Below are 18,006 nucleotides of genomic sequence, written 5' to 3' on the forward strand. Positions count from 1 at the left end.
TTTTTGTTTTGTTCTCCATTTTTAAAAAAGGGTATAGTAGTCCTTATTATGACTATGTTGCCATACTAAATGTTTTACTAAGAATATCGTTAATGGCTAAGTGTTTCACCTTCTAAATGTACCAGTTTTCTTTCATTTTTTTCTTTTCTTTTCTTTTTTTTTTTTTTTTGAGACAGTCTTGCTCTGTCGCCCAGGCTGGAGTGCAGTGGCGCAATCTCGGCTTAGTTTTCTTTATTAATTGCATACAATTACTAATCTAGATTTCTTTCCAGCTATTTGTTATTATAAGTGATAGCAAAGTACATCTTTACGCGTCAGTATTTCCATAGTTAAATTCTTAGTCAGATTTGTATAATTCTTGATACATATTGCTAAACTCTAGGTATCTATTTTAAATCTGAGTTTCCACATTGGAAAACTGACAGTTGAGTTTCATTGATTTCTGAAATACGGTAAAATAAGTGGCTTTTAAAAAGTCGCTGAATAGTTTTACCGCTTAGTATGTCTCTTGTGACCTTGCCTTGCAAAGGGGTAATATAGCAAAGTAACAACTTGAATGAAGAGAACAGTTTTATTGCTAGTGCAGCATTTGCCACATTGCCATAAGGTGAATGTCCTGCAGAGAGACTGAATCATACTGAATTTAATTGTGGTGGGTGTGTGGGGTTTAGGCATACAAATACTTGACTCTGAAAATTGACAGTTTGGCACAGTATGGTTGAAAGATCATGTATTGGGCGTGTTGAACTACGTTGAGTTTTCATGAGGAGCAAGACTCTATGTCTTTGAAGTTGTGTAGTGTCATGGAGTGCTGGTGGCATTTTCCACATGGCATATGCGTTTTATTATCAGCATGAAATTAATACATTTTCAGGAGTGGGTTCTTCCGGTATGAGTCATTTACTAGTTAGAGAATACTTTGTGGAAACAGTTGTCAGCAGAAAGAGTCGTCTTAACATCAGCAAGAACTAAAGCTGAGAAATCTGCTTTGTGAGAACTGTGTACATCGCTGGGTCAAATGACCTGAAGGTGTTTTGTAAAGCCCTGTGTGGTAATCGGTTCAGTCACTGCTAATATCTAAATGCAGCATGCCAGTCCTGAGATGCAGGGACTGGCATGCTGCATTTATATATTAGCAGTCTGAGATGCCCAGTACTGACTGTGGTACAACTTGTTCTGAGGGGTCAGACCAGTTTGCAAACAGGAAAGAAGAGACTTCTGGAAAATTTATGTGTGTAAAGACTTCCTGGTTAGTTTGACAGCATTCCTGAGTTATTCACAGCTCAGCTAGTCTCTAAAGACTCCAAAGACCCAGGAAAAATTTTCATATATATATAAAAACAACATAAAATATATATAACATATATTACGTATTATATATAATATATAAATTATATAATATATAAAATTATATATTATATAAATTATATATAATATATTAAATTATATATTATATAAATTATATATATTATATAAATTATATACTATATGTTAAATTATATATATAAATTATATACTATATGTTAAATTATATATATTATATAAATTATGTGTTAAATTATATATTATGTAAATTATATGTTAAATTATATATTATATAATTTATATAACACACATTAAATTATATATTGTATAATTTATATAACACATTAAATTATATATTGTATAATTTATATAACACATTAAATTATGTATTGTATAATTTATATAACACACATTAAATTATGTATTGTATAATTTATATAACACACATTAAATTATGTATTGTATAATTTATATAACACACATTAAATTATGTATTGTATAATTTATATAGCACACATTAAATTATGTATTGTATAATTTATATAGCACACATTAAATTATGTATTGTATAATTTATATAGCACACATTAAATTATGTATTGTATAATTTATATAGCACACATTAAATTATGTATTGTATAATTTATATAGCACACATTAAATTATGTATTGTATAATTTATAGAACACACATTAAATTATGTATTGTATAATTTATAGAACACACATTAAATTGTGTATTGTATAATTTATAGAACACATTAAATTGTGTATTGTATAATTTATAGAACACATTAAATTGTGTATTGTATAATTTATAGAACACATTAAATTGTGTATTGTATAATTTATAGAACACATTAAATTATGTATTGTATAATTTATAGAACACATTAAATTATGTATTGTATAATTTATAGAACACATTAAATTATTATATTTATATAACACACATTAAATTATGTATTATATTTATATAACACACATTAAATTGTGTATTATATTTATATAACACACATTAAATTGTGTATTATATTTATATAACACACATTAAATTGTGTATTATATTTATATAACACACATTAAATTGTGTATTATATTTATATAACACACATTAAATTGTGTATTATATTTATATAACACACATTATTATATAATTTATATAACACATTAAATTATTATATAATTATATAACACACATTAAATTATATATTATATATTTTACATAACATTAAATTGTGTATTATATAATTTACATAACATTAAATTGTGTATTATATAATTTACATAACATTAAATTGTGTATTATATATTTTACATAACATTAAATTGTGTATTATATATTTTACATAACATTAAATTGTGTATTATATATTTTACATAACATTAAATTGTGTATTATATAATTTACATAACATTAAATTGTGTATTATATAATTTACATAACATTAAATTATATAATTTACATAACATTAAATTTTATATTACATAATTTACATAACATTAAATTATATATAATTTATAAATTATATAATACATATTAAATTATATATAATTTATAAATTATATAATATAAAGTTATATATAATTTTTAAATTACATAATATATAAGTTATATATGATATATATTATATAATTTATATTTATATATATATTTAATTTATATATAATATATACTGCAAAATATATATAATATAAAACATATATTTTATAGTATATATTATATATATTATGCAATTTATAAAATATATATTATAAATATATATTATATATTTAAAATAGAATAAATATATATTATATATTATAAATATAAAATATATATTATAAAATATATATTATATATTATAAATATAAAATATATATTATAAAATATATATTATAAATATAATATATTATAAAATATATATTATAAATATATATTATAAAATGTATATTATAAATATAATATATTATAAAATATATATTATAAATATAATATATTATAAAATATATATTATAAATATATTATAAAATATATATTATAAATATATTATAAAATATATATTATAAATATATTATAAAATATATATTATAAATATAATATATTATAAAATATATGTTATAAAATATAAAACATGTTATAAAATATATTATGAAATATGTTATATTTTAAAATATATATTATGAAATATATGTTATATATTATAAAATATATGTAATATATATATGCAGTTGATTCCAAGATGATGAAATGTATGGACGACTATTTTCTAAAAAAAAAAAAAAAAAGAATAACATCTAAGCTAAAGGGAAAGAACAGCTCTGAATATTGACTTGTTTAGCTTTCATTAGTACTTAACATTGAAACAGAGTTTTTGAATGTTCAGGCATCACTAAATCTAAAAATAAAATCACAAGGCTGTAGTTTTGCTTTTAGATTTCCCAGTTTTCAAGTGATGGCTTGTTGTGTTTTATTTCTTCTGTTGTGTCTCCAATCCAGTGCTCCATTTTTGCTTCTTTCTGTTCTCTGGTCCCGGATTTGACATGTATTGGTACAGATTCCCAGTTGCTTTCAAAAGGTGCCTTGAGAACTTTAGGCATAAGTGAAAGCTGTATTGTGCCCGTCAGATCAATAGTGTGTAACTTTTAGAACACAAATATTGCAAAGATAATGTTTATGATACCATAAGTCCTGCCATGAATTCCCTGAGCATCCCATGGGTGTATGTATATGATATCTAGGACATAAATGACATGTAGTTTATGCTTTCAAACAGAAGTCATCCAGACAACCTTCCCTCCCCCTACAACATTATCATGTCTGAGCTCTTTTTTCTTAAAATGAAAATACTAAGCTGCTTGAAGAAATGTACTGCTAAGAGGACAGGCATTTGATTTTCACTCTGTCATTGTTAGCTGTGACTTTGGCCAATTAGTGTGGATTTTCAGCAATTATTTCATATAAGGAAGATTGTACTCTGAGATTTTAATATAATAGATTTCTAAATAATTATAAAGGCATAGCTCATAGTTGACTTAAGTGATGCTCATTTTCTTTATCCTTTAGATAGGCAAACCACTCCCTATTTTCATAATTTGTCACCAAATACATTTTTCAAGTCTCTAGTAGTGAAAAACTGAGTGTATTAACTCCTTTTACAGGTCAAACTTCTTTCTGATTTCGGGAAAATTGAGATTTGTGTGTTTATTGACAAGAATTTTTCTGAGGTAGATTGTTGAAAAGCTGTTGGTTTCCTAATTTCCAGGTGCATGGTTGCTTTTTTGGTTAAAAGTAAGACAGGGGGAGACCCTGGGCTGAGGAGCTGTGAAATCTCTAAAGAGGTCTGTGAAGTAGGTTATTAAGAGGAAGTAACCTTATTAGCTGGTAGCTGGAGAGCCTGGAAGCCTCTCTTAAGCAGCTGCATCATATCCAAGAACTGATTTGCATTCATGTTACTATGAAAACAGATCAAATTGTGTCTCTAAATGTGTTTGTTTTGTGAATCTGGAAACAACAACATTCAGGTTATGTGACCACCTGAGTAACTGCCCGGTGAGACTGGGAAGTCTAGGAGCCTGCTGCGGCATCCTGAAAAGCAGCTTAGTTCTTAGCAATGGCAGGGAGAAGTGGCGTGAGTCTCAAAATCTGTAGGAAGGATTTTCTTTTTCCGCTTTTTCATTGATCTCTTTCCCTTAACCCAGATACTTTCCCATCTGCAGGAGCAAAAGGGGGGAAAATTCCATGAAACGTTGAGTTTCAATGTACAGCAGTAGGAAAAAAGTTTTAATGTTTCAAAGGATAATGGAGGATAAATGGTAACTTAAAGCATTGGTAAATATTATGCAGGTCGTGCATATGGGATGGCATACATATGGGATGGCATAGATTAGTTTTTGTGTTGGAATTTATTCAACAGTGATTACTATCTTGAACCTGTAAGACCTGTTAAAGCTATTTGAGGGTATGGGTGGAGGAAAGGTGGGTTACAGAAATGAGTCTGTATTCAGCCTGTGCTGTCTTTCCTCCTGCCCTTTCTTTGTTCAACACTCCCTGCTCCACAGTTCTCTGCTGTCCTCACTCTTGTGACAGTGGCCTTCTCCAGGGTCACACCTCTGACCTCCCTGGACTCAGTTTAGAGGATGCTTTTCATTTCTTATCTCCACCTCTTGGGAGCATGTGATATGTTGTCAGTCACTTTTTTGTTCCTGAAGTGCTTTCTTCTCTATTGTGAAGGGACCTGGAGTGCTCGGCCTGTGTGCTGAAGAATGTGCAGCTCTTCTCACTAGTCATATCTCCTCAGCAGATGACCAAGGTGGAAGCTAGAAGATCAGGGTTGTCACATAATCGGGTGCTGGAGGCTTTAGAAGCAAGGAGGGTATTTTCAGTGGGAGGATCAGGTGTGACATTCTGGTAGAAGTAGTATTTATTTATTTATTTTTTCTTTTCCTTGGGATTTGAGATGCACTTGGCACAGTGAGGGCTCAATATTTGAATGAATAAAGGCAGGGTTGAAACACACAGATGAGGGAGGAGTATTTTCAGTTTAGGAAACACATGAACACAACATCAGCAGGGGGAGAAGATGAAGCTCATGAAGGTGAAAATGAATCACTCTCTTGGCTGAGTGGAGTGATGGAAGCGGTGGGGGAGGAGGCTCGCAAATGTGTTCTTGCCAGACTGTGGAAGGCTGTGAGGATCAGCTAAGGAATCTGGGGGACTCTGGGCAGGAGAGGTGGTTGGAATTGGGAAAACTAATCTGGCAGCAGTTTGTTGAGTCAGATGGGATTAGAATGAGAAAAACCTCATTTTGGTCTCAGCTCTGGAGGGGACCAAAGTCTGAGCCCACTGCCTTCGTGCTTCCCTGGCTCAGCCCTCACAACCAATTCCCCTGTTGTCCTTCTCATTTCACCTGGCCACCTGGTGCCATGACCAGTGACCACTGAATCCTGTCGCCTTGTGTGCACAGCCTATGGAGTAGTAACAGAACCTCATCTTTGGAAGTCATGATGCCTGGGGGGAAGACAGCAGCAGCGTGACTGGAGTTAATGTGAGGCACCCGACCTGTGAGGGTTAGAGGGTCTGTGACTTAGAAAGTGAATAAGGAGGGTACCTTTGATAGGATTAGGAATAAGGGGCTTAAGGCAAAATCAGGGCTAAGAATTTAAAACCCAAATAGTTCCCGGATGTGAGAAAACTTCGTGAGAATTTACTTTAGGATTTATCATCGGTTCCTCTCCACATCTCTTTTCCTTATATCCACAAACCAAACACACCCCTGCCGTTCCACATGGACACCATAAATAGCTCCTTTTAAAAAATTTGATTTTTTTTTTTTAAAAAGCGTTTCTGAAGGGCCAGGCATGGTGGCTTGCACGTGTAATCCCAGCACTTTGGGAGGCCTAGGTGGATGGATCACGAGGTTAGGAGTTTGAGACCAGCCTGACCAACATGGTGAAACCCTGTCTCTATTAAAAATAAAAAAAAATTAGCCAGGTGTGGTGGCATGCGCCTGTAATCTCAGCTACTCAGGAGGCTGGGACAGGAGAATTGCTTGAACCTGGGAGACGGAGGTTGCAGTGAGCTGAGATCACGCCATTGCACTTCAGCCTGGGTGACAGAGCAAGACTCCTTCTCAAAAAGAAAAAAAAAAGTGCTTCTGAGGTCCAGTGAAGGTATGAAGGAAAACTTGTGAAAGCACTTTTGTTTGTCCAGTCCTTGGTGAGATTAGGGGTGAGACCAAGGGTAAGGAGATCAGCACATGGGGCTGGGAAGGGCAGGTTCCTCCATTAACCTCTACCAGCCTGCTCTGCTCCTTTTTACACATTTGCGGTATTTGGTGTGTAGAATTTGCACAGTGGGTTATAAACAGTCTGATTATCTCAAATGATATCCATGCTTGATCTCTCTTGTTGGTAAAAATGGGGAACAATATTCTTGAGGTATTTGCTGAGAGCTCTAATTATCAGTACTTTAGCAGATTCCCATGACACCAGGAAATCTAGATATTTTCACATGCTTGAGAAAACATTCATGCTTTATTAAGCTACAAGCTGTACAGCAACATCTGGAAAGTCACTCAGATGGAATAAAACCAGGTTTTGGTTGAAACATCAGTTAATATTATGAAAGAATTATAAACATGATGTTCATGCCATAAACTTATCCGGTTCTTGCAGCAGCAGCTCTCTTCAGCTAATGAAATTTTCACAGAACTGATGATATCACTGAAAACTGCAAGGTGGTGACTGCTTTTGTGAGTGTGACCTCCCCTCTTAGCGTCTCCCACTGTCTTTGGGAGTGAGCACTGGGGAAGGAGGCTATTTTTGTGAACACTATCTGCTGCTTTCCATTCAGTCGTGGAGAAGTCAATTCAACTGTAAGCTTAAGTTCAGCATGGCATAATTATTATCTAAGCAATATTTCATCAAGGTGCATTTCTATTTAAGTGGGCTGAGGGCCACTTGGTTGTGTTTTCCACATATTTTATTTATGTTTGAGTCAGAGTCTCACTCTGTCACCAAGGCTGGTGTGCAGTGGCACGATCTCAGCTCACTGCTACCTCTGCCTCCCCGGTTCAAGCGATTCTTGAGCTTCAGCCTCCTGGGTAGCTCGTATTACAGGCATGTGCCACCATGCTTAGCTAATTTTTTTGTATTTTTAGTAGAGATAGGGTTTCACTCTGTTGACCAGGCTGGTCTTGAACTCCTGGCCTCGGCCTCCCAAAGTGCTGATTACAGGCGTGAGCCACCATGCCCGGCCCACATGTTTTAAATGACATATTTTAAATGACATTCCTAACTAATGCAATATTCTGATTTAGAAACTGAAGACACTTTGGCCACCTGGCCAAATCTCACATTTTAGATAGTTTTCAGGTAAATGGAGACTAACTGGCCTGCCCAGTGCACACAGCTAGGTGGTATCAGAACTCTGACCTTTTGTATTTTCACTTCCTATTTGGGTCTTTACCAAATAAGCAAAGCTTCATCTGTAAAACAGATGGAAGTCATTAAAAATCAGAGCATTCCTGTTGGTCCAGGGAGACAGGATGCAGATGATGTGTGGGAGTCTCATCAGCTCCCCAAGGCAGGGATTTATGAGGGCTCACATCGGAACCTTTCCTATTAGCAATTAAGAAGGTGTGTTCGTAATGAACAGAAAGGTGTGTTGGTGTGTGGATTTTTTTTTTTTTTTTTTTTTTTTTAAATCCTAGTCTCTTAGCTCAGGCTGCCATAACAAAATACCACAGACTGGGTGGCTCCAACAACAGACATTTAGTTCTCACAGTTCTGGAGGCTGGGAAGTCCAAGATCAAGGTGCTGGTATATTCGGTATCTGGTGAGGGCCCACTTCCTGACTTGCACGCCACCTTCTTGCTGTGTCCTCACTTGGGACACGGGAAGAGAGAAAGAGAAAACACATGCTTGAGTCTCCTTCTCTTACAATAATTCCATAAGGTGGGCTTCACCTTTGTGACCTCATCTAAACTTAATCAACTCCCAGAGGTGCCACCTCACATGGGGGTTAGTGTTTCAACATATGAATTTTGGGGGAAACGCAAACATTCAGTTCGTAACACCTAGTAATACCTTTAAAAAATGGGCTGTCTGGCAGAAAGTATGTTCTCAATTGTTGAGAAGATCCAGTGTATCAGTAATTATTATTCATACTCTCAAATATTCTAAGATGTAACAAAACATTTGAAAATATTCAGAGGTGACTAGATTAATAATTCGACTTTTTTCTACCTGCTTGTCCAGTTCATTAAGCAAATATTTACTTGAGCACCTCTTATGAGTCAGGCCCTGTGCTAGATTCTGTGCCAAAGGGATAATAAAAACCTGAGCTAGAGTAGCCCACATTTGGTGGCCAATGTTAAAGTTATATGCTGTTATTTTCTAACTATCATATTCAAATAAGTTTTATCAAGTTTCCTTCTGGTCGTGTCTTTCCTTTTGGATGAAATATTGTAAACATAGTACATAGAGAATACTATACTGAATACTTCAGTACTTGCATTTGGCCTTATCAGATTTTAATATTTGAAGGAAACAAGTCAAAATATTTTTTAATATAAGTAAATCTCTGTGAGAGTTGAAGGCTCCTGTGACCCCTCCTCATCCTGTGTCCTTACCATTCTATAAGTAACCACTATTGTGGATTTGGGATGTTTCATTGCCACATATGTTTTTATATGTGTACATATTATACATATTATATATGTATGAGTTTATGAGTAATGTAAGGTATATTGTTTTGAAACTTTATGAAAATAACAGCAAACTGTACATATTCTTTACTTTTTTTTTTTTTTTTTGAGACAGAGTCTCTCTTTGTCACCAAGGCTGGAGTGCAGTGGTGCGATCTCAGCTCACTGCAGCCTCTGTGTCCCAGGTTCAAGTGATTCTCCTGCCTCGGCCTCCTGAGTAGCTGGGATTACAAGCGCCTGCCACCATGTCTGGCTAATTTTTGTATTTTTAGCAGAGACAGGGTTTTGCTATGTTGGCCAGGCTGGTCTCAAACTCCTAGCCTCAGGTGATCTGCCTGCCTCAGCCTCCCGAAGTGCTGAGATTACAGGCATGAGCCACTGCGCCCGGCCTCTTCTGTACTTTAGGAGGAAAAAAAGCCACATTATTTTTTCCTTTTTGCTACATTCTGTAGTTCTTTTTTAAAAACCTAACATATAGCATTCCATTGAATGGTTATTCCGTGTGTGTGTGTGCGCGCGCGTGCGTGCGCGCGTGTATATATATATATTTTGTTTGTTTGTTTGTTTGTTTTTTGTTTTTCCTCCCTGCGGGGCATGGAGTTGCCCAGGCTGGAGTACAGTGGTGCAATCTCAGCTCCCTGTAACTTCCGCCTCCTGGGTTCCAGCGATTCTCCAGCCTCAGCCTCCCGAGTAGCTGAGATTATAGGCACCCGCCACCATGTCCAGCTAGTTTTTGTATTTTTAGTAGAGATGGGGTTTCACTGTGTTGGCCAGGCTCGTCTCGAACTCCTGACCTCAGGTGATCCACCTGCCTTGGCCTCTCAAAGTGCTGGGATTACAGGCATGAGCCATCGTGCCCAGCCTGTCCTACAGTGTCTTAGTCTGTTCTGTTGTCAGATATTTTTGGAGTGTTTCCAAATTTTCATTAATGTAAATAGCACTGCTGGTGAACATTCTTATACATGTCTCCTGACGCGTGTATGATGTGTATGTGCGTTTCTCTGGGGACATCACGTGAGAGTAGAATTGCTGTGTGGTAGCACGTGAGCGTCTTTCACTCCAGGGTTGTCTTCACCTTTACTCGATAGTACACATTGCTTTACACAGTAGTCAGATTACATTCCCTCTGCATTGTACTGGTGATTTTGTTGAGCTGCATCTTTTCCAGTATTTTGTATTGTGAAACTTTTGAGTTTTTGCTCATCTGTTGATGTAAAAGTGATACCTTATTGTTTCTAACTTGAATGCTGCATTTTCCTGATTGGAGTGAGGTTGAATATCTTTTCACGTATTTATTGGCCTTTCAGGCTTTTTCTTTTTGAGCTGCCTATTTATAACATGTCCTCTTCCTTCCCTCCTTCTTTATTGGTGACAGGGACTCAGGTTCAGAGAAGTAGATTAATCATAATCCTTGATTCACAACCCATTATTATCATTTGTGTTTGCATGGCCCTTTTATTTGCTTTATTTATAATATAATGAACACCTACGAGCTCATCAGGTTCTGAGACATTACCAACAACTTCCTGTGCTTCTCCTCACTCCGTCTCTCGGCCTCTTCCCTCTTTATATATGCTACCTGAGCTTTATTATTCCTTATCTAGTTCTCTTTGTGGTCCTCTGGGGCCTTGCTTTTCTTATTCTCCATTATTATGATTTATCCAAGTTGTTGTGTTGGCTTTGGTCTCATTCCTGTTCTTTTGTAGTGTCTGCTCTGTTTTGCTTATGGGGGATTTTTTTCTTTTGTGTTTTTAGTTTCACTCTGTGAACTCCTTTTCAGCTGAGCTTTCTCTGTAGGAGTCCTGGGGAATGTGGGTTGAAGGTGTATTAAAAATACAAGGTAGTTGGCCAGGCGAGGTGGCTCACTCCTGTAATCCCAGCACTTTGGGAGGCCGAGGCAGGCGGATCACTTGATGTCACCAGCCTGGCTAACATGGTGAAACCCGTCTCCACTAAAAATACAAAAATTAGCTGGGTGTGGTGATGCATGCCTGTAGTCCCAGCTACTCTGGAGGCTGAGGCAGGAGAATCACTTGAACCTGGGAGGTGGAGGTTGCAGTGAGCCAAGAGATTGCACCACTGCACTCCAGCCTGGGCGACAGAGTGAGACTCTCTGGAAAAAAAGAAAATGTGTGTGTATGTATGTGTGTGTGTGTGTGCATATATGTGTGTGTGTGTGTATATGTGTGTATATATGTATATATGTGTGTGTGTATATATATGTATGGTAGGTGTTTCAGTTCACAAAATACTTAGCAATATTGGGGTAAAATATAACACACACATATATATATATATATTTTTTTTTTTTTACAAATGTACAGTTGTGATTATAAATTCTGGAAAGAATACCCAGGATGTGCCAGTGAAGAAAGAACAGAATTTCAGAGCAATATCTTAGGAGTTGAACTTGCATCAGAGTGAGAAACAAAATGCCTGGAGCCTTAACAGTTATATCTAGAAAAAGAATGGGGCCTTGAAAGGAGGAGTTGGACCTGGGATCTCCCCGCATAGCTATTTAGCCAAAAATACAAAGAAGTTTGTCCATCTCAGCCTGGACTCAGAGTAGGGAATAAAAGTACTCAGATCCCCTCCTAAAATGAGAAAGTATCAGCCTGCCCTCACTTCTGAGGCTTCATGTGTATACTGCTCAACTGTCCAGGAATCACCAAGTCAGGGAGTTAACATAATGCGGAGCCATGGATCCTCCTCTGCTGAGGCGCCTTGCAGAAACAAATCATCCGTGCCTGTGTACGTGCCTTCCCCCTTAACAGTAAGCTTCTTGACCTTTGTACATTGATACGTATTTGTGGAATGAAGAAGTGAACAAGTAGAAACACATAGGCATTCTTAACAGAATCTAAAGTTCCACCTGCAAAGTAGGTTCAGCACCTTAAAAAATAAAGTGTAGAAGGGACATTATTTTGCCCAGTAAAATGTTTAATTTTCAAACAGTTCTACTATTCTTAAAATGTTCTGCAGATCACAGACTGCAGTGATTGAGTAGCCTGCTGTTGTGTGTGTTGTGAAGGATACAAAGACTGCCAAGTGTTTTACCCTTCGGGAGCTGTAAGTGTAGGGGAGGGACAGGCTCGAACACAAATAATTATGGTGGAAAGTGCAAAGTAAGTGCCACAGGAAATTTACAGAGCGGTTATGGTTTTGCAGAGGTTGTGAGTGATTCATTTCACTTCAGAAATTTGTTCATTGAGAGAACACTTAGTAGAGCTTCTTGTGTTGTCAGCATTAGGAGGATTATAAGAATACCTAATATTTATTGTGCACTCACTCATGATTAGGCAGGCAACATTTTATGTCAATCTTTGCAACATAATGTTAATTCTCACAACATTCCTATGAAGAGGATCCTATAATTATCTCCATGAAATTTTTTTTATTGAAATGTACCACATATATATGTGCACTTTTATGAGTATACAACTGGTTAGGTTTTCATGAGTCACATTCACCAGTGTAAGTAGCATCCAGAGCAAAACAGAACATATACACACTCGACAAGTGTCAGGGCTTCAAAGCCCCCAAGAACCATAATCTTGACTTCTAGTAGCAGATTTTTTGGGATTGGTTTTTGTGTTTTCTGGAAATTGAGTTATATGGTACATATTTTGTTATGTTTCATGCTATTGCATGTAGTTTGGGATTGTTCATTCCCATTGCCATTGAGTATTCCATTATCTCCATTTTACAGATGAGGAATGTTGAGACTGAGATGTTAAAGTAGCCCAGGATCATGCAGTAACAAACATGTTACAGTACCATTTAGTGTTTTTTGAAACATGATTTTAATGTTCTTGTGGTGTTCTATCATGTAAGTATAGGACAGTGTAACCAGTTCCCCTTCTGATAGACATCTAGGTGGTTTCCAACATGTTATCACTCATACTTTACCATAAAAATTCAATATTTAAAGTACGTTTTGAGGTTTCCAGCTGCTTTTGCAGTTGACTATAGTCAGTTCCATATAGTGTGGCAGCTAGTGAAATATTAATTTCCTTTGTGGCTTTCTTTGTAAGGTAGCAGCTGCCGGTCAAGGGTGGCCTTTGTAGTTTTTTTCCTTAGAGACAGGGTCTCACTGTGTCACCTACGCTGGAGTGTAGTTACACCATCATAGCTCACTGCAGCCTTGAACTCCTGGCCTTAAGTAATCCTCTTGCTTTGGCCTCCTGCAGCGCTGGGATTACAGGTGTGAGCCACCATGCTATGCCCATTTGAGTTTTGATATGTAATCTACTTGCCTTTTGAAAGTGCCTTGTAAGAGTACTACTAGTGTGTTTACTTTTTTACCTTTTATCCTACGTTTGTCTTTTTATACCTCCTCTCCCTTTTTCCTACAAAACTTCCTGTAAGGAGATCTTGGTTCTGCTGCAGTCAAAAATTATATTTTTTCCTTGAGGGTTAGCTCTGCTCTTTGGCCTGCTAATGAGTCTTACAGGGTCTCTGTGGGTCCTTCAGAGGAGATATATTTTTACGAAACATTCTCCGGTGCAGCAGTTTACAAACGCAACTTCTGGAGTGTGAGCTCTTTGAAGGTAGGAGCTGTGTAGTATTCACGTGGTGCTTGGTACGTAGTAGGTGCTCAGTAAATGTGAGGTGACTGGATGAGGAGCTGCTGGAGCCTCAGATTTTTATTTATTTTTTATTTTTTTAATTTAATTTAATTTTTTTTTTTTTGGAGACAGTCTCACTCTGTTGCCCAGGCTGGAGTGCTGTGGCGTGATCTTGGCTCACTGTAACTTCTGCCTCCCAGATTCAAGCTATTCTCCTGCCTCAGCCTCCCGAATAGCTGGGATTATAAGTGTGTACCACCACCTCCAGCTAATTTTTGTATTTTTAGTAAAGATGGGGTTTCACCATATTGGACAAGCTGGTCTCAAACTCCTGACCTCGTGATCCGCCCACCTCGGCCTCTCAAAGTGCTGGGATTACAGACATGAGCCATCATGCCCAGCTTCCTTTTGATTGACCTTTACAATATTATGTTTTTTTGCTTTTGGGAACATGATTAATTTTTAGACTTCTCAAACAGAAATAGAAGACCTAGAGCTATTTGTTTATAATTTCCCCCCCTTCTTGTAGTAGAGGAGGAATTATTTAGTAATGTGATAGAAAATAAGTTTATAATAGTTTTGTAAAAATATTAAGTTTCTTCTATTTTCTCCATTCATTGAACATTTGTTGAAACCTTGCTGGGTCCCATGCAATAGGGATAGAAAGATGAATATAATTAATCCTTGCCCTTGGGGAATATATAATCTAGTGGGAGAGACAAACACACGTGTACTTACCCATTGTGGTAAAATATATTTATATATCTGTGAGCATTTTTTTTAAAAGCGTAGTGGAAGGAGACACCTGGGAGGTTGGGAGGAGGGCCCTCCTGGAAGAGACAACAACGGAGCTTCCTCTTAGAGGAGGTACATAATTCCTCCTCAGTCTGGTACCCAAATACTGGTTCATCTCTTTTTTTCCTTATTTCTTTTTTTTTATTTTTCTTTTCTTGAGAAGGAGTCTCACTCTGTCGCCCATGGCTGGAATGCAGTGGTGTCATCTCGGCTTAACTGCAAGCTCCGCCTCCCAGGTTCAAGCGATTCTCCTGCCTCAGCCTCCCGAGTAGCTGGGATCACAGGCGCCTGCCACCATGCCCGGCTAATTTTTTGTATTTTTAGTAGAGACGGGGTTTCACCGTGTTAACCAGGATGGTCTCAATCTCCTGACCTTGTGATCCACCCGCCTTGGCCTCTTAAAGTGCTGGGATTACAGGCGTGAGCCACTGCGCCCGGCCTGTTCCTTATTTCTGGAATGCTAGTACTGGCCATAGTTATAACATTCTATGATTTCTAATGTAAAAACCTCGTTCTTGTCTTTTCCCTCATGCCATAGAGCCCTTCCACGGAGGCTTGTTGATTTTAGCTCTGAAATGATTGTAGGATGTAGTTTTCCTCTTTCTCTTCCCTTCTCTCTGCTTACATTGCTGTCTCCTTGGTTTGGAAGGACAGTGATGGAAATAATCTTTGTGTTTGAAGCATCCGGCCTGGAGCATGGCATATCATGGGGTTCAAAGTTGTTAAATCAAAAGGAACTGAATAGCCTGTAACTGGTTTTCTCTCCTCTAGTGGCCTTTTCCTTTCATTTAATTCTATTCAATGTCCTCAAAGTTATTCAATTTTTTTTTTCTTTTGGTATCACTTCTGTGTTTAAAATTCTTCCATGACTCCTTATTACCCTCCAGATGAAGATCCAACCTCTTAGCCAGGTCTTTACACTGACCCCAGCATGCCTTCTATGTTCCTCACCCTTCCACTGCCACCATTTTACTGTGTGCATGTCTGGAGTTGTTTGTTTTTCTCATGGTCCAACGTACCCTCCCCACTTTGTTTTGTTTTGTTTTGTTTTTGTTTTTTTGGAGATGAAGTAGGCTGGAGTGCAGTGGCACTATTTCTGCTCACTGCAGCCTCCGCCTCCCAGGTTCAAGTGATTCTCCTGCCTCAGCCTCTGGAGTAGCTGGGACTACAGGTGCGCACCACCACACCCAGCTAAATTTTGTATTTTTAGTAGAGACGGGGTTTCACCATGTTGGCCAGGATGATCTCGATCTCTTGACCTCGTGATCTGCCCGCCTCAGCCTCCCAGAGTGCTGGGATTACAAGCATGAGCCGTTGCGCCTGGCCAGCCAACACGCCCGGCCCCCTCCCCATTTTTTATTTGTCACTTCGGTCTGATGTTTTGAGATCCAGTCTTAACCCTGCGAAACCTTCTCTGCCTTTCCCAGAAAGAGTTAATTGTGCCCTCTGCTATGTTCCCTGAGGGTCTGTACAGTCAATCTTTTTTAGTGGCATCCCATCTCATCTAGCTCATCCCACCCCAACCCATCCCATGCCATCTCATCCCATCCCTCTCCTCTTTGTCCTGTTTCCCCATTTCATCTGTCTCTTACATTTTCCTCTGCATTTCTGATTAGATCGAGGACCAAGAATTGTGACTGATGCTTCTTTGTCCCCTGTTCAGGTGTTTCTTAAGTGGCAGATGAATAGTTCCTCCCTGTACTCTCCTGTAAACATACTTTTTGCTTTTACATCTCTTCAGTTTTGCTTTTACTTTTTTTTTTTTCGTAAGGGATACATTCTTTCAGTAGCTTTATTTAAATGTAGTGTGTGGACCGTTTGTTGTGACCTTCTTTGAAATTTTCTCTGATCATGGCAGCCCAAAATATCGGTACCTGCCTCTGAACCATCTTCGTTGTCTCTGGCTGTGTTACTTATACAACACCTGCTATTATTATTTGTATTTTTGTTTTATATGTTTCATCCCTCCTTAGATTATAAACTCTGAAGTTAGAGGTCATCTTATAGACAATTTTGAATCTTCTGTGTTAAAAAATATAATTTTGGCCAGGTGTGGTGGCTCATGCCTATAATCCCTGCACTTTGGGCAGCCTAGGTGGGTGGATCACTTGAGTCCAGGAGTTTGTGACCAGCCTGGCCAACATGATGACTTTGGGCAGCCTAGGTGGGTGGATCACTTGAGTCCAGGAGTTTGTGACCAGCCTGGCCAACATGATGAAACCCCGTCTCTACTAAAAATACAAAAGATTAGCCTTGGCTGGGTGCAGTGGCTCACGCCTGTAATCCCAGCACTTTGGGAGGCCAAGGTGGTGCATTACGTGAGGTCAGGAGTTTGAGACACTCTCTCTCTCTCTCTCTCTCTCTCTCTCTCTCTCTCTCTCTCTCTCTCTCTCTCTCTATATATATATATATATATATATATATATATATATAGACTTTTTACCCCCCCACGCTTGAAAAATGTGCTACTTCCTTTAGTCTCCATGGTTTCAGATGGGAAATCCATTGTTCGAATTGGTGTTCCTTACAGATCATGTATCATTTCTCACAGCCTGCTTTCAAGCAGATTTTTTTCTTTGTCTTTAGTTTTCAGAAGACTAGTTATTGATGTTTACCATTGATCCTAGCCTTGGCCTGAATTTCTTTTTGTCCTTTTTTTTTTCTCTTCGAGATGGAGTCTCACTCTGTCACCCAGGCTGGAATGCATTGGTGTGATGTCGGCTCACTGCAACCTCTGCCTCCCGGGTTCAAGCGATTCTCCTGCCTCAGTCTCCTGAGTAGCTGGGACTACAGGCATGCATCAGTATGCCTGGCTAATTTTTGTATTTTTAGTAGAGACGGGATGGGGTTTTGCCATGTTTGCCAGGCTGGTCACAAACTCCTGACCTCAAGTGATCTGCCTGCTTTGGCCTTCCTAATGCTGGGATGGCCTCTCTTTGTTTATTCTGATCATAAATTTGCTCAGCTTCTTAAATCTGTTTATGTCTTTTACCAAATTTGGAATGTTTTCAGCCATTATTTCTTTGAATATTCTTTTAGCCCTATTCTCTTTTTCCTCTTGGGGCTCAATGATACAAGGCTGGATGTTTTGCTGTTCCACAGGTCTCTGAGGCTCTGCTTATTTTCACAGCCTGTTTTCTATTGTTCTGA

At 37.6% G+C, this 18,006-nt stretch overlaps 1 protein-coding gene and 1 non-coding gene across 4 annotated transcripts in view; both read left to right on the plus strand.

Annotated features, from left to right (window-relative positions):
- ARHGAP10 (Rho GTPase activating protein 10) overlaps window positions 1-18,006 on the plus strand; it is a 340,689-nt gene that overhangs the window by 49,441 nt on the left and 273,242 nt on the right. The gene's annotated exons all lie outside the window — the stretch shown is intronic.
- MIR4799 (microRNA 4799) lies at window positions 1,067-1,140 on the plus strand. The gene has a single exon (NR_039962.1). It is a non-coding gene; the product is annotated as a microRNA 4799 (primary transcript).

The sequence above is a fragment of the Homo sapiens genome, chromosome 4 (genome assembly GCF_000001405.40).
Source record: "Homo sapiens chromosome 4, GRCh38.p14 Primary Assembly".
NCBI classification, from domain to species: Eukaryota; Metazoa; Chordata; class Mammalia; order Primates; family Hominidae; genus Homo; species Homo sapiens.